The sequence below is a fragment of the Homo sapiens genome, chromosome 18 (assembly GCF_000001405.40).
Source record: "Homo sapiens chromosome 18, GRCh38.p14 Primary Assembly".
Taxonomy (NCBI): Eukaryota; Metazoa; Chordata; class Mammalia; order Primates; family Hominidae; genus Homo; species Homo sapiens.
Window position 1 is genome coordinate 31,880,206 of NC_000018.10, and position 25,640 is coordinate 31,905,845.

The following is a 25,640-nucleotide window of genomic DNA, read 5'->3' on the forward strand; positions in this document are numbered from 1 at the left end:
GAAAACAAGTCAATACCCATGATGAACACAGATGCAAAAACCATCAATAAAATACTAGCAAACCAAATCCAGCTGGACATCAAAAAGTCAAATTAATCACAATCCAGTGGGTTTTATTCCAGAAATACAAGGATGGTTCAATATTTGCAAACCAATAAATGTTACTCACCACATAAAGAGAATTAAAAACCATATGATCATCTCAATAGATACAGAAAAAGCATTCAATAAAGTCCAAAATCCCTTCATGATAAAAGCTCTTAACAAACTAAGCACTGTAAGAAACATACCTAAAAATAATAAGACCCATATATGACAAACTCACAGCCAAAATCATATTGAATGGGGAAAAGTTGAAAGCATTCCCCCTAAGAAGGGGAACAAGACAAGGATGTACACTCTGCACTCACACCACTTCTATTCAACATAGTACTAGAAGTCCTAGCCACAGCAATCACGCAAGAGAAAGAAGAAAAAGCATCCAAATAGGAAAAGAGGAAGTGAAATGATCTTTGTTCAATGATGACAAGATCCTATACCTAGAAAACCTAAAGATTCCTCCTAAAGACAGTAGTCATTAGGATAAATGACTTCAGCAGTTTCATGATACAAATTTAATGCACAAAAATCAGTTGTGTTTCTATACAGTCATAAAACTCAGGATGAGAACCAAGTAAGAACTCAATCCCATTTACAACTGCCACACACACACAAAATAAAATACCTGGAATACATTTAACCAAGGAGGTAAAAGAGAACTACAAAACACTGATAAAAGAAAGTACAGACACAAACAAAAGAACAAAAAAAACCCACGCTCACAGATAAGGAAAAATCAATATAGTTAAAATAACTATATTGCCCAAAGCAATCTACAGATTCAACAAACTATCTATCAAATAAATAATGTCATTTTCCACAGAATTAGAAAAAACTATTCTAAAATTCATATGGAACCAAAAAAGAGCCTGAGTAGCCAACAAAGTCCTAAGCAAAAACAAAGCCCGAGGCATCACATTCCCCAACTTCAAACTACACTACAAGGCTATAGTAACCAAAACAGCATGGTACTGGTACAAAAAATAGACACATGAACAATGGAATAGAATACAGAACTCAGAAATAAAGCAGCATACCTGCAACCAACAGATCTTTAACAAAGTCTACAAAACTAAGCAATGGGGAAAAGGACTCCCTATTCAATAAATGGTGCTGGGATAACTGGGCTAACCATATACAGAAGAATGAAACTAGACCCCTACCTATCACCATATGCAAAAAATTAACTGGAGATGGATTAAAGACTTAAAGATAAGACCTCAAAGTATAAAAAAATCCTAGAAGAAAACCCAGGAAATACCCTTCTGGACATCACCCTTGGCAAAAAATTTATGAGCAAGTCCTCAAAAGCAATGCCAACAAAAACAAAAATTGACAACTGGTACCTAATTAAACCAAAAAGCTTCTGCACAGCAAAAGAAACTATTAGCAGAATAAATAACGTCCAAAATCTGAGAAAATACTTGCAAACTACACATCCGACAAAGGACTAATATCCAGAATCTAAAAGTAACTTAAATCAAGAAAAAAAATCAAATAATCCCATTAAAAAATGGGCAAAGGACGTAAGGTACTTCTCAAAAGATACACAGGCAGCCATGAAAAATATGAAAAAATACTGAACATCACTAATCATTAGAGAAATGTAAATCGAAACAATGAGATACCATCTCATACCAGTTTAGAATGGCTATTTTAAAAGGCTATGGAGAAAACAGAACAGTTATACACTGTTGGTGGGAATGTAAGTTAGTTCAGCCAGTGTGGAAAGGAATTTGGAGGTTTCTCCAACAGATAAAAGAGAACTACCATTCAACCCAGTAATCCCATTACTAGGTATGTACCCAAAGAAAAGTAAATTGTTCTACCAAAAAGACACCTGTATTCTTATGTTCATCACAGCACTATTCACAGTAGTAAAAACATGGAATCAACCTATGGTGCTCATCAATGGTGGACTGTATAAAGAAAATGTGGTACATACACACCATGGAATATGACACGGCCATAAAAAAGAATGGTATCATATCCTTTGCAGCAACATGGATGGAGGTAGAGGCCATTATCATAAGTGAAATAAATCAGAAATGGAGAATCAAATAGGCATGCTCTCACTTATAAGTGGGAGCTAAACAATGGGCATGCACGGACATAAAGAGGAAATAATAGACACTGGGCACACCAAAAGGGGAGAAAGAGGAAGGGAAGGAAGTGAGGGTTGAAAAACAACCTACTGGATAATATATTCACTATTTGGGTGATGGGTTAGTTCTCTGAAGCCCAAATCACAGCATTACACAATATACTCATGCAGCAAACACAGACATGGACCTCCTGAATTTGTAATTATTTTTATTTTTATTTTTTTCGAGACAGAGTCTCGCTCTGTCGCTCAGGTTGGAGTGAAGTGGCACGATCTCGGCCTACTGCAACCTCTGCCTCCTGGGTTCAAGCGATTCTCCTGCCTCAGCCTCCCAAGTAGCTGGGATTACAGACGCATGCTATCACGCCTGGCTAATTTTTGTATTTTTAATAGAGATGGGATTCCACTATGTTGGCCAGGCTGGTCTCGAACTCCTGAACTCGTGGTCCACCCACCTCAGCCACCCAAAGTACTGGGATTACACGCATGAGCCACCATGCCTGGCCTCTGTAATTACTGTTTTAAAAGAGGTACAGCCAGGCGCAGTGGCTCACACCTGTAATCCCAGTACTTTGGGAGGCTGAGGTGGGTGGATCACGAGTTCAGGAGTTCGAGACCAGCCTGGCCAACATGGTGAAACCCCATCTCTATTAAAAATACAAAAATTAGCAAGGCGTGGTAGCGTGCGCCTGTAATCTCAGCTAACTGGGAGGCTGAGGCAGGAGAATCACTTGAACCCAGGAGGCAGAGGTTGCAGTGAGCCGAGATCGTGCCACTGCACTCCAGCCTGGGTGACAGAGAAAGACTTCATCTCAGAAAAAAAAAAAAAAAAAAAGAGAGAGGTACAGACCACCTCTCAGTGCCAGCAGCAGTATGTCTGACAGAAAAGATGACCAAAAAAGAAGGGATGGGAAATTGATGCTGACCAAACACACTATAAAAGTACACCCTGTAGAAAACCAAAAAAGCAGCAAAAACACCAAAGCAGTTATCCAATGTCAGCCACCACAAAAAGAAGATAGACAGTAGAGTGGGTAGCACCCACTGTAACAGCTAGAAGACTTCCCACATCTCTACATCAAAATAAATTTCCAAAGAAAAAGGTCCAAGTTCCAGTCAATCACAATTCATGGGGATAGCTTTCCTCCAGATCTGGCTCTGAACTCACCAGGTACTAACCATTTGGCCATCACTGCCCAACTAATGAAAGAAGTGAACACTGAAGAAGATGCTACATCAAAAGGATCAAATGTTTTCAAAAAAGAAAAGAGGACTGCAAAGTTGAAGGCTGATTTTTAATAACAGGTATCTCAAATAGAGACAAATTAACCAGACAGAAGAAACCCAAAAGTGGTAACAGTTCTAAAAATCTAAAAGTTTTTAGAGCTGCAGTTTAAAAACCAAGAGGAAGTCCTGAAACAAGCAAGCATCTGCTTTGTTCAAAGGCAAGAAGTATATGAACTCAGTAATAATAATGACTGTGAAAAACCAGTTGGGAGGTCGAGCGTGGTGACTTACACCTGTAATCCTAGCACTTTGGGAGGCTGAGGCAGGTGGATCGCCTGAGGTCAGGAGTTCAAGACCAGCCTGTCCAACATGGTGAAACCCCATCTCTATTAAAAATACAAAAATTAGCTGGGCTTGGTGGCAGACACCTGTAATCCCAGCTACTCGAGAGGCTGAGGCAGAAGAATCGCTTGAACCTGGGAGGCAGAGGTTGCAATGAGCCGAGATGGAGCCACTTCACTGTAGCCTGGGCAAAAGAGTGAAACTCTGCCAAAAAAACAAAAACAAAACCAGATGGGAGTTTCCAGAGCATTAGCATATGGAGACATGGATAGAGTTAGAGGCTTTGTTATTATCTTGTAACTAGAAGCTATTTTATGAAATTTAATTTTGATGTGGTCATCCCTCTTTATACCACTGCACTGGCCTGAATGGAAATACCAGCGTGTGCTAAAACTGCATGTGAGCATATAGTGAATGTGTGTGTATTTATGTGTGTGTATATATTTATGATGTATGCACATTTTTACACAACTGGTTTGTTCTGTAGTGATAGAGTTTGGTATTCTTTTCTTCTGGCTATTGCTGCACCCTATCACAAGCATAAGCAGCTATTTGAAATTACTTATCACTGCCACTCTCTGAACTCAGACAACCTCCATCCTAAAAAATGGGATTTGGTACCAAGAAAAGGCTTTTTTTTCACTAAACTTTTGTTTCAAAATATACTAGTTTCCACTGTCCTCCACACGTGCCTTACAGTATTGTCAGAATTGTCTTTGAGGGGGTTTTTTAAAGAAATATTTTCTTGGCTGGGTGTTGTAGCTCATGGCTGCAATCCCAGCACTTTGGGGGGCCAAGGTGGGATGATCTCTTGAAGCCAGGAGTTTGAGACCACGCTGGGCAACACAGTGAGACTCCATTTCTTAAAAAAATTAAGTTTTTTTTTTTTTTTTTGAGATGGAGCCTCACTGTGTAGCCCAGGCTGGAGTGCAGTGGCGCGATATCAGCTCACTGCAAGCTCCGCCTCCCAGGTTCACGCCATTCTCCTGCCTCAGCCTCCCGAGTAGCTGGGACTATAGGCACCCGCCACCACGCCCGGCTAATTTTTTTTTTGGATTTTTAGTAGAGACGGGGTTTCACCGTGTTAGCCAGGATGGTCTCGATCTCCTGACCTCGTGATCCGCCTGCGTCGGCCTCCCAAAGTGCTGGGATTATAGGCGTGAGCCACCGTACCCAGCCAAAATTAAGTTTTTTTAAAAAAGAAATACTTTATTGATTAAGCGATAAATAAAAATAGTCTGCCACTGGACGGCATGAAATGAGAACACAGGATGTCTTCTGTATATTCCTACAAACATACCGAATTTGAATCTCATCATGAAAATAGCAGAGACATGTAACTTGGGACAATCTACAAAAATAATTGGACTGTAACCTTCACGAGTGTTTAAGTCATGAAGTCAAACGATCCTTTGACTAAAAAAGGATAAAACATCCTATGCCCTTTGATAAAGGACATGCATGAGATGACTGTCAAAATCTGAATGGGGTCTGAGGATTACACAGTAGCTCTGTATCAATGCCAATTTTTTTTTACTTTGATGGTTATGCTATGGTTATGTAAGGGAAAGTTCTTGTTTCTAGAAAATAAGAAATATGGGCCGGGCACGGTGGCTCACTCCTGTAATCCCAGCACTTTGGGAAGCCGAGGTGGGCAGATCACCTGAGGTCAGGAGTTCGAGACCAACCTGACCAACATGGAGAAACCCTGTCTCTACTAAAAATACAAAAAAAAATTAGCCAGGCGTGGTGCATGCCCGTAATCCCAGCTACTCGGGAGGCTGAGGTGGAAGAATTGCTTGAACCTGGGAGGCGGAGGTTGCAGTGAGCCGAGATCGCGCCATTGCACTCCAGCCTGGGCAACAAGAGCAAAACTCCATCTCAAAAAAACGAAAAATAAGAAATATGTCCTAAGGTATTTGAGGATAATACGGCAAGAGATAAACCACTTAACACTCAAATGGCAAAAAGAAAAATTTCTGAACGGCGCTTGCAACTTTTCTATAAACTTGAGATTGTTTCCAAATTATTATTATTATTATTTTGAGATGGAGTTTTGCTCTTGTTGCCCAGGCTGGAGTGCAATGGTGCAATCTTGGGTCACTGCAACCTCCACCTCCCGGGTTCAAGCAATTCTCCTGCCTCAGTCTCCCGAGTAGCTGGGATTACAGGCATGCGCCACCATGCCTGGCTAATTTTTTTCGTATTTTTAGTAGAGATGGGGTTTCTCCATGTTGGTCAGACTGGTCTCGAACTCCTGACCTCAGGTGATCAGCCCACCTTGGCCTCTCAAAGTGCTGGGATTACAGGTGTGAGCCAATACGCCCAGCCTGTTTCCAAATTAATTTTTAAGTGATGTTTCTTGAGGAAAAAAAAAAAAAAAAAAAAAGGCAACCCTATCTTTAGCATTTAGTAAAGGAACACAGTATTAAAAACTGATAGATATAGAAAAAGAGTTGAATGTGTCTTGTGTGTTCAAGTGGATTTTCGAATGTGTTCAAGTGGATTTTTAAAGATTTTTTTGGAAAAGAAATTTAAATGAGGTAAAAAGGTTTGAGTCAGCTTTTTATAGTAAGAACACAAAGGTTGTCTAATCACATACACTCTTCCCCAGCGTTTTTTGTTTTTTTACTGACTACTTTCATGCCACTTCTTTTTAAAATGCACTTTACTTTCTGATATTCTTAATGAAAAATAATTGAACTATAAACAACTTCTGGGGGTGCCGAGCGCAATGGCTCATGCCTGTAATCTCAGTACTTTGGGAGGCTGAGGCGAGCGGATCACGAGGTCAGGAGTTTGAGACCAGCTTGGCCAACATGGTGAAACCACGTCTCTACTAAAAACACAAAAAGTAGCCAGGAGTGGTGGCACGTACCCGTAGTCCCAGCTACTCAGGAGGCCGAGGCAGGAGAATCACTTGAACCCGGGAGGTGGAGGTTGCAGTGAGCTGAGATTGCACCACTGCACTCCAGCCTGGGTGACACACACACACACACACTTCTGGGGCAAGATAAGCAATTCAGCATGAATTCTCAAATAGAGGACTAAGAGAAACGGCATTACTCTATAACTTCTTCTCTCATTCTCACTCATCCCTACCAATACAACCCTGTTTTAAATTCAAATGTCATGAAAAGTTGGTGCTTGTCATCAAAAAGCTTATCCACCACAATCAAGCTGGCGTCATCCCTAGGATGCAAGGCTGGTTCAACATATGCAAATCAATAAAGGTAATGTATCACATAAACAGAACTAAAGAGAAAAACCACATGATTATCTCAATAGATGCAGAAAACATTTTTGACAAAATTCAACATCTCTTCATGTTAAAAACTCTCAATAAACTGGGTATCAAAGGAACATACCTCAAAATAGTAAGAGCTGGCTGGGCGTGGTGACTCACGCCTGTAATCCCAGCACTTGGGAGGCCAAGGCGGACGGATCACCTGAGGTCAGGAGTTCAAGACCAGCCTGGCCAACGTGGTGAAACCCCATCTCTACTAAAAATACAAAAAATTACCCGGGTGTGATGGCAGGTGCCTGTAACCCCAGCTACTTGGAAGGCTGAGGCAGGACAATTGCTTGAACCCAGGAGGCAGAGGTTGCAGTGAGCCGAGATCACGCCATTGCACTCCAGCCTGGGCAACAGGAGCGAAACTCCATCTCAAAAAAAAAAAAAAAAAATAGTAAGAGCCATTTACGACAAACCCACAGCCAATATCATACTGCATGGACAAAAGGTGGAAGTATTCCCCCTGAAAACCAGCACAAGACAAGGATGCCCTCTCTCATCACTGCTATACCAGCACAAGACAAGGATGCCCTCTCTCACCACTGCTATTCAACATAGTATTGGACGTTCTGGCCAGGGCAATCAAGCAAGAGAAAGAAATAAAGGGTATTCAAATACGAAGAGAGGAAGTCAAATTGTCTTTGTCTGCAAATGACATGATCCTGTGTCTAGAAAACCCCACTGTCTCAGCCCAAAACCTTCTTAAGCTGATAAGCAACTTCAGCAAAATCTCAGGATACAAAATCAATGTGCAAAAATCACAAGCGTTCCTACACATCAACAACAGACAAGCAGAGAGCCAACCAAAAAGTAGGCAAAGAACATGAACAGACACTTCTCAAAAGAAGACATTTATGTAGCCAAAAAACATATGAAAAAAAAGAATGCTCAACATCACTGATCATTAGAGAAACGCAAATCAAAACCACAATGAGATACCATTTCATGGCAGTCAGAATGGTGATTATTAAAAAGTCAAAGCTGGGCATGGTGGCTCACGCCTGTAATCCCAGCACTCTGGGAGGCTGAGGAAGGTGGACCACCTGAGGTTGGGAATTCAAGACTAGCCTGACCAACATGGAGAAACCTCATCTCTACTAAAAATACAGTATTAGCCGAGCATGGTGATGCATGCCTGTAATCCCAGCTACTCGGGAGGCTGAGGCAGGAGAATTCTGTTTTATGGCACACATATGTTCACTGCAGCACTATTCACAATAGCAGAGACATGGAATCAACCCAAATGCCCATCAATGATAGAATGAATAAAGAAAATGTGGTACATACATACACACAATGGAATACTATGCAGCCATAAAAAGGAAAGAGATCATGTCCTTTGCAGGGACATGGAGGAAGCTGGAAGCCATTATCCTCAGCAAACTAACACAGGAAGAGAAAACTGAACACCGCATGTTCTCACTTGTAAGTGGGAGCTAAACAATGAGAACACATGGACACAGTCCAACACACACTGGGGCCTGTTGAGGGGTAGGGTGGGAGAGGGAAAGCATCAGGAAAAAGAGTTAATGAATGCTGGGCTTAATACCTAGGTGATGTGTTGATGGGTGCAGCAAACCACCATGGCACACGTTTACCTATGTAACAAACCTGCACATCCTGCACATGTACACTGGACCTTAAAAGTTTTTTTTAAATAATAAAAAATTGGTGCTTCTCAGAAACAACTAGGCCTCAAGTCAGAATTATATGTGTTCTATGCACCCTAACTTCCAAGGAAGAGACTGTTCTTGATGAACTTCAATTAGATATATATTGTATTGGCTTATCTAGTAGATCTTAATTTATAGTCATATTCTCAGATTTCCACAAACTGTACTGTTTTGTGAAAGAGCTGTCTTGGGTTCAGGGTGTACAGAGTGGTCATGAAATAGCAAACTCAGCTACCCTGAATCATTAACTTCACAGGGTTATATACTACAGTAAGAGGTGATTACGAAGCCAGATAGCAAATGTATCTCAACCTACCACAAAGGTAGCATTTTTAACTTGTTAGGTATTTCCTAGAAGCAATATGCTCTATAATCTGGGAAGGCAGATACAAGCAGCTGTTTCTAGTTCCAATGACATTACCATTCTCACAAATGAAACCATTCACAAAAGTGGACAAAGATGTAGAAAAATGACGACTTATTTTCAATAGGAGACAATAGACCATTCCTAATGGGACATATATTTTCTTTCAAGCAAAGGAAACCTCCTGCTTAATACATTTTGTCATTTTTTGAACAGAAACCTTTTAACCAGAGATACACAGTGGCGTAACATGTTTCAGATGCACTTGCATTTACTATTGAAGAAAAGCCATGAAAAGTAGTAATAGTTATTTCTTTAAGTTTTTCTCATGTTAGAGCCTGAGAAATTCTAATTCATGGAGTGTATCAATTATTATAAAGACGTTTAATTTTATATTAAGATTTGAAAGGTTTTTTAATGAACATTAAGCAAGTCCACATATTTTCTAACTTTCCACAGGTTCCAAAAATAAGAGGAAGGAACCCAATTTTGAAATGTTGGTTTTAAAAAATTACAATATTTTTACATGAAATTGAGAGTAATTTCTGAACATCTTTACTTCTTTGTACCTTTGAAATAATGTACATTGTGTAAAACACTGGGATGCTTTGGTTAGCACAGACTTAGAAAAATTAAGGATGTTCATAGTTACATTTCATACTTAGTAAATTCATATTAACTAAATCTTTAAAAGATCCTCATATGCCCCTAATAGATCAAAAGCTCCTTAAGACGTAAGACCATGTTGACTTTATGGGTGAATGTTCAGCTCCTAGTATACTCTCTGAAATATAGAGATGGTTGTTTAATCCAAGTTTCCATTTATATTTATAGTAAATCATCATCTCCCTACTGCTACTCTCAGCCTCCAAGAAAGCTAGCTCTCTCCGACTAATGGTTCTAGGACAACTGGGGCCGGATAAATCTCTCTACATCAGTAAAGATCCCAGCAACTCAGCTGCTTCAAGAGACAACAGACAGAAGATGTCTATACATTAAGTATTTAGTCAATAGCATTATAAAGCACTCTGAAACAGAAAGAGCAGGATTTTTTTAAAAAGTACTTTGAAAGAGAACAGAAGATCACAGCTGAAATAGGGAGAATGCATTCCTGCTTGAATGCATACAATCTATCTGGCCTTTCACAAATGTGATTTAGTTTAACCTAACCAAAATTTGGATAAAATTACAAATTTTATAAATAAAAAAACCCCGAGGCTCAGAGAAGTAGCTTGACCAAAGTTGTGAGTAGAAGATCAAAATTTATAGCCAGATTTGTCTAAATCCAAATCTCACGCCCTTACCAATACATTACCTCAGAACAAAATTTAGTTTTTAAGATCCTTTTTAAATAATAAAAATGGACAAATGACACACATTTATAAAATAAATAGCAACTTTTCATTGTAAAGCAAATGCACTCACCTGCCCTGCTTTACTAAATCGATGGCCTGCCAATATCATATGAAATGCATATTTTCTAACCATGGGACTTTTCATGTTTATAAAGCAATGTGCTGCCTGTTCCAAAAGAAGTGCACTTCGAAGATCAGAATCCTAGTGAATGTTTAAAAGAGAAAAAGGTTAGTTTCACCAAGTTAAAAGTAAATAGATAACTAGTGAAAAAAACATTTAATTTCTTAATATATAGCATATCCAATGTTTAACTTAAGAGTATATGAGGGCAAAGATCAAGGGGAAAACCAATCTTGATTTTTCCAATAAACACAAAATTCTTTTAAGCTTTGAAAACATCTTCTACCATGAAATACTTAGCTTTTCATAAAAGCCACATGTCTGGTTATGATATGTGCCATGTACCAAATCTGTGAATAATTGCAATCCTTTCTCAAATGGCAAAAAAGTATGTAAACTACAAATTTAATACAGGTATACCGATAAAAAATAAACCAGAAAACATTTACACCAATCGAATTTCCTCTGAAAATTGACTTGTTGGCATATTTTCATCCACCCAAGAAAACATGTACATAGATTATGAAATATTCTAATCTACTATTTCATTCTCTGTAAAATTTTACTGCATTTAAAGGAATCCTCAACTTTTGCTATAATTCTAGAGGGCCAAATCGACTGCATTTCATTAAAAAGTTCACAATGCTTCTACTTCAAAGATTTTCTTTTCACCTATTATTACATTAATAAAGAATACAACTCAAGTAAGTTTCCACTTCAACTGAATCTTACAGTACAGCATCTACAAAACCACATACTACATTACGTCACTGCCCTTAAGACAAATCTTTTGACTGAAAGAGTCATCACTTTACAGATAACTGAGAAAGTACTGAAGGTTGCTGATTAAATATCAACAACATTTTCACCAAAACTTTCTCCAGGTTTTTAGCTGTTCTCAAGCTGAACTTACCATGCCCTTCCATGTGTTCTGCTGCCATTATTTTCCCCAGGGAAAGTTGAAAACAGAAAACATTGACTTTAAATGCGATAATCTCAACAAATTATAGTTACATCAAAAGTGTTCACAGACCATTGATTAGCATAAACTGTCTCTGCGTCAATCATAGAATTATACTAGAGCTGAAACAGACTCGAGGAAATCATCTAGAAAGCATTCAGTAAATGGCAGCTATTATCTATTTCATCCTCCTCCTGACAAAAACTAAATGATTAGATGATTGCTCTAGTAATTAAGATCCAAAAGCTAGTAAGTAAAAAAGTCAGAAATATGTAATTAATGAGTGGTTCTTAAAAACGGGTTTGTGTCAGAAATACTTAGGGGAGCTTGGGAGCCTATTTTATTTTTTAGAAAAATGTTTTCTTTTTAGAAATTATTAATACAAACTAATTTTTTTAAAAAGAATACATGTTTGAAGAAAAAAGTGAACATCTTTCCTAGCCCATGCTTCATGTCATTTGCCAGAGTAACTATTCTTTACAGCTTAATAGTGTTGTGTCATGTCACCCCTCCTATATATGTATGTGCATGTGTTTACATGCCTAATACATATGCATTTTTAAAAATACACATATATTTTGATACGTAAGTGGTATTTATATGGAGTACCTTGCTTTTTTCACTTATGTAATGGACATCTTTCTAAGACATCTACATCTGTCTCATTTATTTTAAAGCTACACTGTCTTCCATTATATAAATGTACCCTAAATTACCGATTGTTTCATATTTTGTTACTACATAAAATGATTTGATAACTATCCTTATAGAAACATTTGAATAATTATTCAAATATTTTTAATAGAGAAATTTCTGGAAGTAGAACTGTGGAGTTAATGAAAGCTATGCATATACTACTTCAGATTCTAATCAATATAGCCAAACTGCTACAAAAAAAGTAGCACCAATACATACTCTCATCAACAAAGAATAAGAGTATATGTGTTCCACTCTACTCAGCCAAAAATCTTTAAAATTTTTAGCTAATAAAATAAAAATGACACCCGGGAGCTCACACCTGTAATTCCAGAACTTTGGGAGCCGAAGGTGGGGGATCGTTTTGAGCCAAAGCGTTCAAGACCAGCCTGGGCAACAAAAAGAGACCCCTGTCTCTACAAAAATTAGCTGGGCATGATGGTGAGTGTCTGTGGTCCTAGCTACTTGGGAGGCTGAGGCAGGAGAATCACCTGAGCCTGGGAGGCTGCGGCTGCAGTGAGCCATGAATGCACCACTGCACTCCAGCCTTGGTGAACGAATGACGCCTTGTCTCAAAAAAAGGGAAAAAAAAAAAAAAACAACATCTTGTTCCTTAACATACATTTCATTGTAGGACTGTTAATCTTTTCATATGTTTAGGGGATTTTGTAATTTTCCTATGAATTGCCTGTTTATGCTCTTTTGTGAATGGTTTGTTGCGATTTTCTGCTTTGTAAGAGCCCTTGTATGCTCTTAATATTGGTCCTTTGTGATATATTTTGCAAATAGTATTTTCCAGTTTTGACATGAAAGAGTTTATTCTTTTGCAGGGAAGCACACTCTCTTTGCCTTTATAGTGTCAAGATATTACATCAAACTAAGAAAGGATGTTATCATTCCAGGACTTTAAAAAGTGCTCTCCTAGTATTTGCTTCTAGGTGTGTGTGTGTGTGTGTGTGTGCGCGCGCGCGTGTGCCTGTGTGTGTGTTACCCTGGTTTCATTTTTTATTATAGCTTAATCAAGCCATAATATATTAAAACACAATGAATAAGCTAAGATTCCAACCCAAACAGCTGGTTAGATATCACAATACCATTTTGTGAGTAAGTTAACTTTCTCCACTGATTTTAAATGATACCTTAATCATATGCAGTATTTAAATTCTCATTCCAGCCCATTAATATGTCTATTCTTATCACTGTATAGAGTTTTACTTTCTGTAGCCTTATATTTTAATAGCCATATTTTAATATCTAAAATAGGTAATTCTCCCTAATTATTGTTTCTATTTCAGAATTTCACTTAGGCCTCAACAGAGTTCAGTTTTTTAAGTGCTGTAATTTCTTAAGTCTATTCTTAGCACACTGCACATATGCATGCATACATACACACACACGAAAAAATAAAATAAAATAATATACACACACACACTTTTTTACTGCCTATGAAGCTTCACTAAACTGCAAAACCTGGATGGGCAGCAATCCTGGACATTCTCATAAGCTAAGAATATCCCCTGAGAATATTTAATGGTTTGCAAATGATTCTAACGCACAATCCAGTTAAAAACCAAAATGAGAAACCCTTAGCATTCCCAAATTTAACACTCAAGAACTGACCAACTGAAGGCAGATGTGGAAGTCCATGGCCTTCCATGGTATTAATTTGGCTGAAACAAAATTTTGACTCTTGCATGTGGAGAATCAGTTTCTAGACTGACTGAGAATCAGTTTCTAGAGCTGAATACCATGTTTTCATATCTTGGTCCAGCTTTATTCTTCATTGGACCCTGACTCTTACTGTGACACCCAAAGTGGTAAAAACATTGTTTTGAGAGGAGGAAAATTGCCCTGAAAAGAATGACAACTGGTATCAGTGTTGATGGAAGAGAAATAAAAGGATTTTTACAAAGTGATGGTTTTATCCAGAAAGCAAAGGCTTTAAATGAACTGAAAGATACAATTTTAATACAGTGGTGTATTTCATACTATCGAATAACAAGTTTTGTTTATGTTCTATAAGAAACTAAGAAAAAAAAATCTGTTGATAGCACTTCAACAAGAACTCTGGCCTATGAAAATTCTCCACAACCAAGAGATAATTTTAACAAAAGATAAAAAGATAACAATAACTTAAAATATGAGAGTATGTACAGGAAAAAAAAAATCACCTGAGGTAGAGGCCTCAATTAACATTTCAATAAAAACACAGTTGATAAAGCCACCAGTTGCAGCTAATTAACTGAATCAAACATCAAACAAAAGATGGCTCTAAGCTTTTAAGATTTCATCTCTGCATACTTGTGAAGTTAACAGGAAAGGTGCTATCAGCTGATAAATTTCCCATAAGACCAGTTACTCCTAAGCTGAAGAAACTTACAAAAAACTGGTATTAGCATCCCTAGAAACTGATTTTTCATATTTAAAATAGTAACAGAAAAAATGGGTTATAAGACCAGAATAAGTGTTCAACACAGAAACAGACACAAGTAGGTATGTCTTAAGCACCAAATTCATATACATCCTATGCGGTGATAAAGGTAGCATGTTTCACCATTAAACTGGGTTTGCTCTGCCATTCTGAGAATCCCAGGGCATAAAACAAAAAATATGATTCACTTGACCAAAAATTTGCAGTACACAAAGTCAAAGCACAGCTCCTCCTTTTGCCTAGGCCTCATTAACTATCTTTTGCTATGACGGTATTAGCAAAAATCTAGGGAACACAGCTCAGGAATGTCAAGAGTATGTAACTCAATTCTCCAGCTTCAAAACCAGTGTACATCTCTTGATATTATACAGCCTTTCTAGTTAACAAAATACATACAGTAAATGTAAATTGTTGGTAAAGATTTAACATAATTTATAAACATGCCTAATAATCATTAGTCTCAAGTTATCTCAAAGAAATTTATGAAAGGTATAGCAGAAAAGGCCATTAAGAATCACGATTTCTGGGTACGTGCACCACCACCTGCCCCCTCTCCCCACCACATGGCAGCAAATAACAATGATACATTTTCTAGACTTTCATGATAAAACAAATCATCCAGATTTGAGAAAGAAAAGTGGAAACAAAGAGTTGGAAAGAAGAGAAAAATGACAAAAAATAACACGGTTATAATGCAGACAGGAGAACTTGCTCTGAAGAAATTTTATTCACATATGTGGATAGAATGGCATATTGAAATCATTTAAGCAAGGAAGAAAAAAAGGAATTTTATTGAAGCTCCTGAACCATAAATTCTTTTTACATTCACTGATAATCCTTAGGTTGAAGAACACGGCAACACATTCAAATCCAAGTTAAGATTATTTATTATAATAGAGAATATCAAAATACTCAAAAGCCTTATTCAGCTCTACAAATAGTTTGTCTGTTATCTGTTCATATTTATTAGTCAGTGTCCATGCAATAACAATTATTAAACATTTTAAATATCACTTCTGAACCTAACTAGTTAGACCTTACAGAAACTTTTGTAGAAGAATTAATGGTTCAGTTACAACAAACACTTGTAGAGCATCTAATCCATGTGCCAAGGCCAGTGTTAGGCAACAAGAATAAAAACAGAAGGCAACACGGTTCCCTGCCCTCAAGAAGCTAACAGCTTAAGAAGCTTAAACATAATTTCCAATATAATATAATATGACAAGTCAGGTTTTACAGCATTGTATGAGAGAGAAGAACAGAGACACTTAGGACAAACAGGTGTATTAGGAAAGACTATCTGAAGTACACAACTGGTATCATGACTAGTAAATTAGGCAAAGCAAAAGGAAAAAGGCCGCAGTCCCAAAGAGAAAATATTAAGAATGAGAACTAGAACAGTAGAAGTTTAAGAAAAACCAACAACAAAAGAAAGAGAGAGAAGTAAACTATTTGGAGATACAAAAAGAAAATATATTTTTAAAGGTTAAAATTGTTTTAATTAAATAAATAATGTTTAAGAGCTTGAAAACAAAAATTACTCCCATCCCCACCCCCACCTCCATTCTGCACTGGATTACAGACAGGATATGAGAATACAGGAATATCTCAAGCCATTTCTGCCTTGAGCAAATAGAGGGCTAGTTAGTGATAACATAATTTAAGATCATGATATATTAGGTAAAAAATTTTATGGGTTTATTTATATGTTAATTTAAGATGCCTTGGAAACACGCAAGTAGATAAATCTTTGTTGTTGTTGTTGTTGAGACAAATGAGTCTCGCTCTGTCGTCCAGGCTGGAGTGCAGTGGTGCGATCTCGGCTCACTGCAACCTCCACCTTGTGCTCAAGCAATTCTCCTGCCTCAGCCTCCTGAGTAGCTGAGATTACAGGTGTGCACCACCATGCCTGGCTAATTTTTGTATTTTTAGTAGAGACAGGATTACACTATGTTGGCCAGGCTGGTCTCAAACTCCTGACCTCAGGTGATCTGCCCGCCTCGGCCTCCCAGAGTGCTAGGATTACAGGCATGAGCCATCATGCCTGGCCACAAGTAGATAAATCTTAAAGACAGTTGGCCATACAAATCTAAAGCTCAAGGAAAGGTCAGGGTTGAAGACAGATTTGAAAGTGAAAAGCATGGCTGTGAACAAGATCATCCCCAAAACGTAAAGAGTTAAAAAGTGCATTGGTCCAAGGATTAAAATCCTAGGATAATTTAACATTTAAGGAGCAAACAAAGGAGGTGTTTGATTTTGTTCCTTCGTTCTTCAGTATTCATCTAAAAAATGTGTTATTAACAGTACTTATAAAGGAATTACTACCATTCTTTACAAGCCTGCAGTCAATGTAACTCAATAATATTTGTTGTAAAATCTTCAACAACTATAAATGAATTACTTTTTTCTCTTTTAAAATATTCACAATATAGGTTTTTTAAATGTTTAAGATGATTTTCTTAAAAAGTTCATGCTAGTTGAAAGTAAAACTAAAAATTCCTCAGTGATTAATCTTTTAAAATTAGCTTTATCTCCCTAGCAAGCAGACTCAGATAACAAAATATGAGTAACAAAAAATAAAATATCATTTTATATTAGGAACAATGCACATGCATATTGTTTTCAATATTCTTATTCAAAGGACAAAACGTAATAAGTCACAGAGTATGCTCAATACATGTCTGTAGTTAATAATGAAATGTAGGCTTAAAATATGTAAATAAACTTAATTTATAAAAAATTACATTTAAAATTAACTCAACAAAAAACTAAAATAGCCATGTTGTAAATTCCCAAAGACAGATTTCCCTGGCTAATTTTATGTTTTGTAAAGCCTTTCAAGAAAAAAGATACATCTTTTTAAAAAAAAAAGAACAATGCTAATTAAAGCAAATACTACACAGTTTCAGTACCTCACTGGTCAACCGTATTAGGAGAGCTGCAGCCTCTGAATATTTGCTTTGGCTTTTTAAAAGTTCAGCACTAAGCAACACACATCTTTCAGCCAACACCATATTCCTATAGAAAAAAGGACAAGAAGATAAAATAGCACAATAATACCTTAGCACATCAAAGTAAATGTGTTCAGCAAAAGATTCCAATTACAGTTTTAGAGGATAGTTGCAGGGAGATGGTTCCAGGACCCTCCAGGATACTAAAATCCAAGGTTTGTCAAGTTCCTTATATAAAATTGTATAGCATTTGCCTATTAACCCATACACATCCTCTTATATAATTTAAATAATCTCTATATTACTTATAATACCTACTACAATGTAAATACTATGTAAATCATTGTTATACTTTATTTTTTATTTGTATTTTAAATTTTTGTATTGTTATTATTTATTGTTGGTTTTTTCCCAAATATTTTTAATCTGCAATTAGTTGAATCTGCAGATGCAGAACCTGCAGATACATAGGGCTGACTGTAAAAAGAAGAAAAGAAGTCTATGTCCTTGTTTTGCACCTACCAAAAAGGTTTTTTAAAAAAATCTTCAAAGACTTCTTATAACTCATCAAAACTTTTCATTATCATGTAATTTGGCAGTAAGAATACAATGCAAAGTCATATCTCCTGCATGCAAAAAAGCTAGAACTGGTTCCAGAACCTATTTAACAAAGTCTGCTTTGAACAGAAAAATATAAACATGTCACACATTATTTCTTTCTCCTTCCCTATGCAAATTCTGACTGTGTTTCATTTTGCTGGCTACTTTGAGAAATATTTAGGTATTTTCCCCCTGGTAGTACCATTAGGATATTTCTGCTGGAGATGGCTTACAGCCAGCGTTGTCTGATTGATTCCTGATCCAATTTTAGTTTTTTTTGTAAAAACATAATCAGTTGATTTTGTGGACTACTACATCAGTAATCTAGAATTAGATTATCCATTTTAGAAAAGAATAAAAACAAATGAAAACATTCTTACTATGAAATTACAAGATGGAATCCTATTGCTGGCAAACAGCAGCAAAAGTTTTTCTTTTTACTTTCTAATCCTTATAGAATCAAAAATATCACTTGGCTTTAAAATTATTAATATAACTAAAGCTTGCTAACTTGAATTTACTTTGGAAACCCATTCTAAACGATGAACAGTATTTATTTTTGAAACACAATTTACTCCTTTCAAAAATTCAAAAATTACTATACTGACTTGTCATAAACTTTCTACAAATCACACCTTTTCTTGGAGGTTAGATATTTATGAATACCTAAGACTGTTTTGATGAACACAAAAGACTAACTCCTATATACTAGCAACTACTTATATAATAGGTTCAGTTCTTAAAGATTTGTCTTCAGTAAATTTTATAAACTCCCTTAAATCTTAACACTTATTTTACTTATTTATGTTTGATTCCAAAACCATTTATCCCATATGGTCAATTACTTCAGTTTCCTCATCTGTAAAATGAGGATAACAATAGCATTCACGATTTCAGAGGTTTGTTATTAAGACTAAATGAGCATATAGATTTCTTCTGCATGGTGGCGAATGCTGAACACTCAAAAAATGTTTATTATTATCTTATTAATGATGTTGTTTTGTTCTAACCATGTTACCATTACGATGACTACTTTTACTTCAACATTATAGGGGTCTTATAGGGGTCAAAATTGCCTCTATATCTGCCTTCCAGTGCATCTATTCTGAAACAACAGATAAGTCGGATTAATCTTTCCGAAAAATAACTTTTATTACGTCAACTCTCTACTCAAATATTCGGTAATTTTCCATTTACTACTACGTAAGTCTTCACTGAAGCTTAATAAAAATAATACATGGGCCTGGCGCGGTGGCTCGCACCTGTAATCCCAGGATTTTGGGAGGCCAAGGTGGGCGGATCATGAGGTCAAAAGTTTGAGACCAGCCTGGCCAAAACAGTGAAACACCTTCTCTACTAAAAATACAAAAAATTAGCTGGGCATGGTGGCAGATGCCTGTAATCCCACCTACTTGGGAGGCCGAGACAGGAGAATCACTTGAACCTAGGAGGTGGAGGTAGCAATGAGCTGAGATCACACCATTGCATTCCAGGTGGGTGACAATGCGAGACTGTCTCAAAAAAAAACATGGGCTGGGCATGGTGGCTCATGCCTGTAATACCAGCACTTTGGGAGGCCGAGGTGGGTGGATCTCTTGAGGTCAAGCATTCGAGACCAGCCTGGCAAACATGGTGAAATCGTCTCTACTAAAAATACAAAATAGCCAGGCATGGTGGCGCGCACCTGTAATCCCAGCTACTCCAAAGGCTGGGACAGGAGAATCACTCAAACCCAGGAAGAAGAGGTTACAGTGAGCCAAGATTGCGCCACTGCACTCCCGCCTGGACGACAGAGCAAGACTCCTCCTCAAAAAAAACCAGAAACAAAAAAATAATACATGACAGTAAAGGTTCCTCACACAGATTTATCTCAAACCTCCTTTCCAAATTTATCATCCAGTACTTTCCCTATACAGCAACCTTCCAACCTAGCCAGGGCTTTCTTCTCTTTAGCCAGTAATGCACATCTAAAACATTATGCCTGCCAATCACAATTCCTGATACGTCTTCATGGTTATCAAGTCCTAACCACCTTTCTTTCAAGGTCTATCCATCAAATATCCCATGAAATCTCCCCTGACCACTGGGGACCAGCTCATAGTCTCCTCATAGGTGGTGAGTTCTCACTTTTATAGGGTTCCAACAGAAAGCACTATGAATACAATATTGTTTAACTATTTGTGTTTTGCCTATTTAACAAAGAAAATGCAAAATGACTAATTCCTAACTTGATAGCAGTTTAAAGCTAGAAATGTCCCCACAATACAAATTACCTTCAATGTAACATATAATCTCAACATTACATAACACATTCCTAACCACCAATCCAAACAAAATAGAAAAGAAAAAGGTATAATAAAACACTAACTTTTTAAAAATCACCTCAACTTGTCTCCGACTATATTAACTTGATTTGGGAGTTTAGGAATGGGGAAAAAAAAAAAAAAAGAACAAACTGACCTTTAACTGGATACAATATAAATCTTATATAGTCACCTACTTGCAGATATCTCTGTATGTCTGAATTGCTGTATCCATGTAATGAGCAGGATATGGCCTAGGTGCTCCTGGTTGAAGAAAAGCAGACACTGCTGCCATTTCCTAAAATAAAAGACATAGTTTACATATTTCAAAAGAAGAAACAGTCTTACAGTTTAGATGGGAAACTAAAAGTTGGAATGAAATTTGCTGTTTTTTTTTTAACTGGATACACATGTATAAACTTCATAGCCTAATGCAGACTTGAAAAACACATTTGTAGCCCAGTCACTCTTCAGAGAAGATGGGTGATCTGACTCTGGAAGGACTGAAGTCAGAGAGGTCAAAAGAGCACCTAGAATTCAAGTTAAGTAATGAGTAAGAGTCTTACAGAAACCTCCAAGTAGCACTGTCTTACTTGGCTCTTGTGAGCAAAGACTGCAGTACCTTCAATTAAGGCCTTTAAAACATATCCTTAAAGACTAGTGGATCCTTGGCCAACTGGTCTCAGAGAAATCATGAGAGTAACAGGCATTTCTTTATTGTATTTATATTATTCTCTTTCTACTTTCCAATTTCTGAACACCCTCTAATGACCACTGTTTTGGGATGTGTTTTTCCTGAAAGAACATGGGGAATACAGAGATCAAAAGGGAGAGGCTTCCATTACAGGTAAAGTTAGATCAGATAAGATTTAGCAGTTAAACTCCAGGAAAATGAAGAATGAATTCTGGTGTCCAGACAATTACGAAAGGCTCAGGCAAATATAAGGGCACCACTGGCTACATGGGGAGCAAAGACTGCCTCCTAAGATTTGTTTAGACCCCAGGGAGGTCTTCACTTTTGCCTAAACTCAGATTTGCCATGGAAATTCCAGAGCAGACATTTGGATTTGTCCTCCTTTGGGCGTCTACGTGAATGTTGTGTGGCAGTGTGAGTGGGTGCACGTATATACAATGTGCTTATGGGTGAATGTTTGGTCAGGCCTAGTGGTTAGGTGTGTTGTCCATCACTTTTATTTTGTCCAGATTTTTTAATCTTCTGTTTTCTAGAGCTACTCATGTTTCCCCTTCCTCTTTGTCACTGTAGTATTTGACAGTTATCTTTTCCCACCAAAAATATGCTGAACTGGCCGGGTGTGGTGACGCATGCCTGTAATCCCAGCACTTTGGGAGGCTTAGGCGGATGGATCACTTGACATCAGGAGTTGGAGGCCAGCCTTGTGAACATGGTGAAACACTGTCTCTAATAATAATACAAAAATTCCTGAACACCCTCAACAGCCAGAAGTGGTGGCAGGTGCCTGTAATCCTAGCTACTCAGGAGGCTGAAGCAGGAGAATCGCTTGAACCCGGGAAGCGGGGGTTGCACTGAGCCGAGATAGTGCCACTGCACTCTGGCCTGGGCAACAGAGTGAGATTCGGTCTCAAAAAACAAACAAACAATAACAACAACAACAAAGTATGCTGACCCTACACTGGTCCGAGCAACCTCTTGGTCACAGCAAGAGGTTATTTCTGTTAAGCAGCATCTTACCCCCAGTGTTCTCCCAGATATTCTGCCTAACAGCTTTAAGTGGGAGGTTGAATAGTCAGTTTATCTAAGCCATCTATTTTTCCAAACTAGCTTGAAAGGTATTTCCATTTATGTTTACTCCATGGGCCTCTGATATGCTGAGATGTAACACAGTTTTGGTTGTGGTATCATCTGTTATAGAGACAAAGGGAAAAAAGGTTGGCCAGGCCCAACATAACCAGCGTGTTAGGTTGCCACTGGAGATGGGGGAGTCAGTCTCCACTTTGCACAGCTGGGGCTTTTCTCCTCTAACCCATTTGCCGGGTTTTCTGTTTGAAAATAGCCCCTACTGGCCAGGCGCGGTGGCTCACGCCTGTAATCCAGCACTTTGGGAGGCCGAGGCGGGCGGATCACGATGTCAGGATATCGAGACCATCCTGGCTAACACAGTGAAACCCCATCTCTACTAAAAATACAAAAAATTAGCTGGGCAAGGTGGCGGGCGCCTGTAGTCCCAGCTACTCGGGAGGCTGAGGCAGGAGAATGGCGTGAACCCCGGGGAGCGGAGCCTGCAGTGAGCCGAGATCGTGCCACTGCACTCCAGCCTGGGTGACAGCGAGACTCATCTCAAAAAAAAAAAAAAAGAAAATAGCCCCTACTCCTCTCCAGTGTCCTGCTTTTTGATTGCGCGCGTGCGTGCGTGCGTGTGTGTGTGTGTGTGTGTGTTTTCCCTGTGACACTGGAAGTGGCAACAATTTTCCACCCAGAGAGAAGCTTTGGCCCACAATGCTCCAAGAAGGAATTTCCAAGTATTTGCTGGTGGAAAAAGAGCAGAGGCTACGACAAGAATGATTTAGGGTTGTACTTTCAGAAGAATTATCTACGACAGTAATATAAGTAATACATTTATATAAGCTTTCAATCTTAAAATTCTCTAGTTAATATCTGAAGTCTCCCATTCAATATATAAATGAGATTTTCAAAAAAACCTAGTAAACACTTTGGGTTATGGTGTATATATACTACCAGATTAGCCTAGCTTAAGATTTCTACTATCACCCTCCTCCCTGTTCTTCCCTAACCTTCAATAAGTAGAGAACAGACCAATGATGGATCACAAAGAGAAGAAATAAAGTACATCTCTTTCCAATTTATTGGCAACAATATAAAATCAGAGCTCACAACGGCTTGCCTTATCAATATATTCTGCCAATTACAAACTCTAGTTTATATCCACTATCTTATAGACAGTGCAAAGACCATTTTTCTTAAGCCTATTATTACTGTCAATTTCCTAGATCATATTTCATTTTAAAACCTCATTCTGGATGGGCACAGTGGCTCACACCTGTAATCCCAGCACTTTGGGAGGCTGAGGCAGGAGGAGTGCTTGAGCCCAGGAATTCAAGACTAGCCTGGGCAACATACTGAGATCTGTATCAAAAAAAAAAACAAACTCATTCTACTGGCAATAACTAGGACTTTAGTTAATAATTCAAATAATATACAATGGTGGTTAAAGGATTTAGAAATGAAGATTAAGCACAGTGCCACATGCCTGTAACCCCAGCACTTTGGGAGGCCAAGGCAGGGAGAATGCTTGAGCTCAGGAGTTTAAGACAATCCTGGACAACATGGCAAAATGCCATCTCTACAAAAAATATAAAAATTAGCCACACGTGGTGGCGCATGCCTATAGTCCCAGCTACTGTGGGGGGCTGAGGTAGGAGGATCAGTTGAGCCCAGGAGGTGGAGGCTGCATAAACTGTCATCGCACTACTGCACTCCAGCCTGGGCAACAGAGCAAGACCTTGCCTCCAAAAAAAAAAAAAAAGAAAAAAGAACCTAAGTTTTAATGGAAATGGCTCACGCCTGTAATCCCAACATTTTGAGAGACCGAGGTGGGTGGATCACCTGAAGTCTGGAGTTCGAGACCAGCCTGACCAACATGGAGAAACCCTGTCTCTACTAAAAATACAAAATTAGCCAGGTGTGGTGGTACATGCCTGTAATGTCAGCTATTCGGGAGGCTGAGAGGGGAGAATAGCAGGATGGGAAAGCCATAATTCACTTTTAAGACAAACAAATGTACTTCTCTGCAACATTTTTTAAAATAGAAGAAAAAACAAATAATGATTTGAGAACTGAAATATGATTAAAGCCTTTAACCTGATAGTTCCATGAATGACAATATGAACGATATCTATTTTAGAATGCCTCTGTATCCTCAGCACTCAGCAGTATCTGCTCTAAAATTCACTGAAGAAGCTAAATAAAATACATAATATCCATGTGACAAAATATCGTACAGCTCTAAAACATGTTTTCTTGGCCAGGCCCAGTGGATCACGCCTGTAATTCTAGCACTTTGGGAGGCTGAGGCAGGCAGATCCCTTGAGGTCAGGAGCTCGAGATCAGCCTGGCCAACTTGGTGAAACCCCATTTCTACTAAAAATTCAAAAATCAGCTGGCAGTGGTGGCACATGCTTGTAATCCCAGCTACTTGGGAGGCTGAGGCAGGAGGATCACTTGAACCCAGGAGGTGGAGGATGCAGTGAGCTGAGATCAAGCCACTGCACTCCAGCCTGGGCAACAGAGTGAGATTCCATCTCAAAAAAAAAAAAAAAGTCTGCAAGCATTCCTATTACTGGTTTTGCTGTGATATTTATTTTGCCTTTGTAGTTACTATGACTAAATATCTTCTATAATTTTCATCTAAAAAGGCATACGATCTAGTCTATTCTACTACAACACATTTTTATCTTATCAATTAGTTAACATGTGAATGGTAAGGGAAGTGATATCAGTTCAAATTAAATTTTTATTCATACATAATTTTTCTTAGGCAAGGGAATCAAAAATAGCAGTATTATAAACTTATATCCTTCAGTAGGAAAGGAAAAAGCCCTGAGCTCAGCTGCTGCACAGAAAGGCGCTCTTTCAGCTGCTAAAAACTGAATGCCTACACTTTGGTGCATATGGACTGTGTCTCCAGAGAAGTACACCACCAGCCTTGCACAGCTCTGGGCTCAGGGCAGGCTGTACTTTCTTCTATGATCAGCTTCATGGCAGCTCCATCGGTTGGGAACTCTTCTTGCTCATCCCCATCTCTATAAAAAAATTATTTTTTATATTCCCTGAGGTATCCTCAGCCATGCTAAGCTGCCTATCTAGATTATTTAGGTAATCTTCCAAGGTACCATTTAATGTTTTTGTTTGTGCTCTGGTTACAAAGATGAATAGGTTTCAAGAAGACTAACCCAGTCTAACTTTTCTCAGAAGCCCATTATTTTTAGGGTAGCTTTTAAAGGCTAAGTGATTTTCAGGTGCACATATATCATCTAAGAATAAATATGCCTTTATTTTCCAGTGCTATATTATTTTCTCTCAAATAGCTACTAATACTTCCAGTTGAATGGCTTAAATGT

At 38.0% G+C, this 25,640-nt stretch overlaps 1 protein-coding gene and 1 pseudogene across 12 annotated transcripts in view, besides 1 other annotated feature; one reads left to right on the forward strand and one right to left on the reverse strand.

Moving 5' to 3' along the window:
• The window catches only part of TRAPPC8 (trafficking protein particle complex subunit 8), a 113,932-nt gene that overhangs the window by 51,009 nt on the left and 37,283 nt on the right, over positions 1 to 25,640 (reverse strand). For all 12 annotated transcript variants that reach the window (XM_017025616.3, NM_014939.5, XM_005258234.4 and 9 more), the window contains 3 exons: positions 20,720 to 20,820; positions 17,581 to 17,686; positions 10,530 to 10,661 (listed from right to left, as the gene is read on the reverse strand). In XM_017025616.3, the coding sequence (XP_016881105.1) occupies positions 10,530 to 10,661; positions 17,581 to 17,686; positions 20,720 to 20,820 (339 nt within the window). The remainder of the gene's footprint in view (positions 1 to 10,529; positions 10,662 to 17,580; positions 17,687 to 20,719; positions 20,821 to 25,640) is intronic.
• LOC100421591 (family with sequence similarity 76 member A pseudogene) lies at positions 3,055 to 3,668 on the forward strand (annotated as a pseudogene).
• Positions 20,927 to 21,127: a silencer, noted in NCBI's record as "peak3104 fragment used in MPRA reporter construct". NCBI's record gives its function as "represses an SCP1 promoter by STARR-seq MPRAs in K562 erythroleukemia cells {active_cell/tissue: K562}" and the evidence as "EXISTENCE:reporter gene assay evidence [ECO:0000049][PMID:32103011]".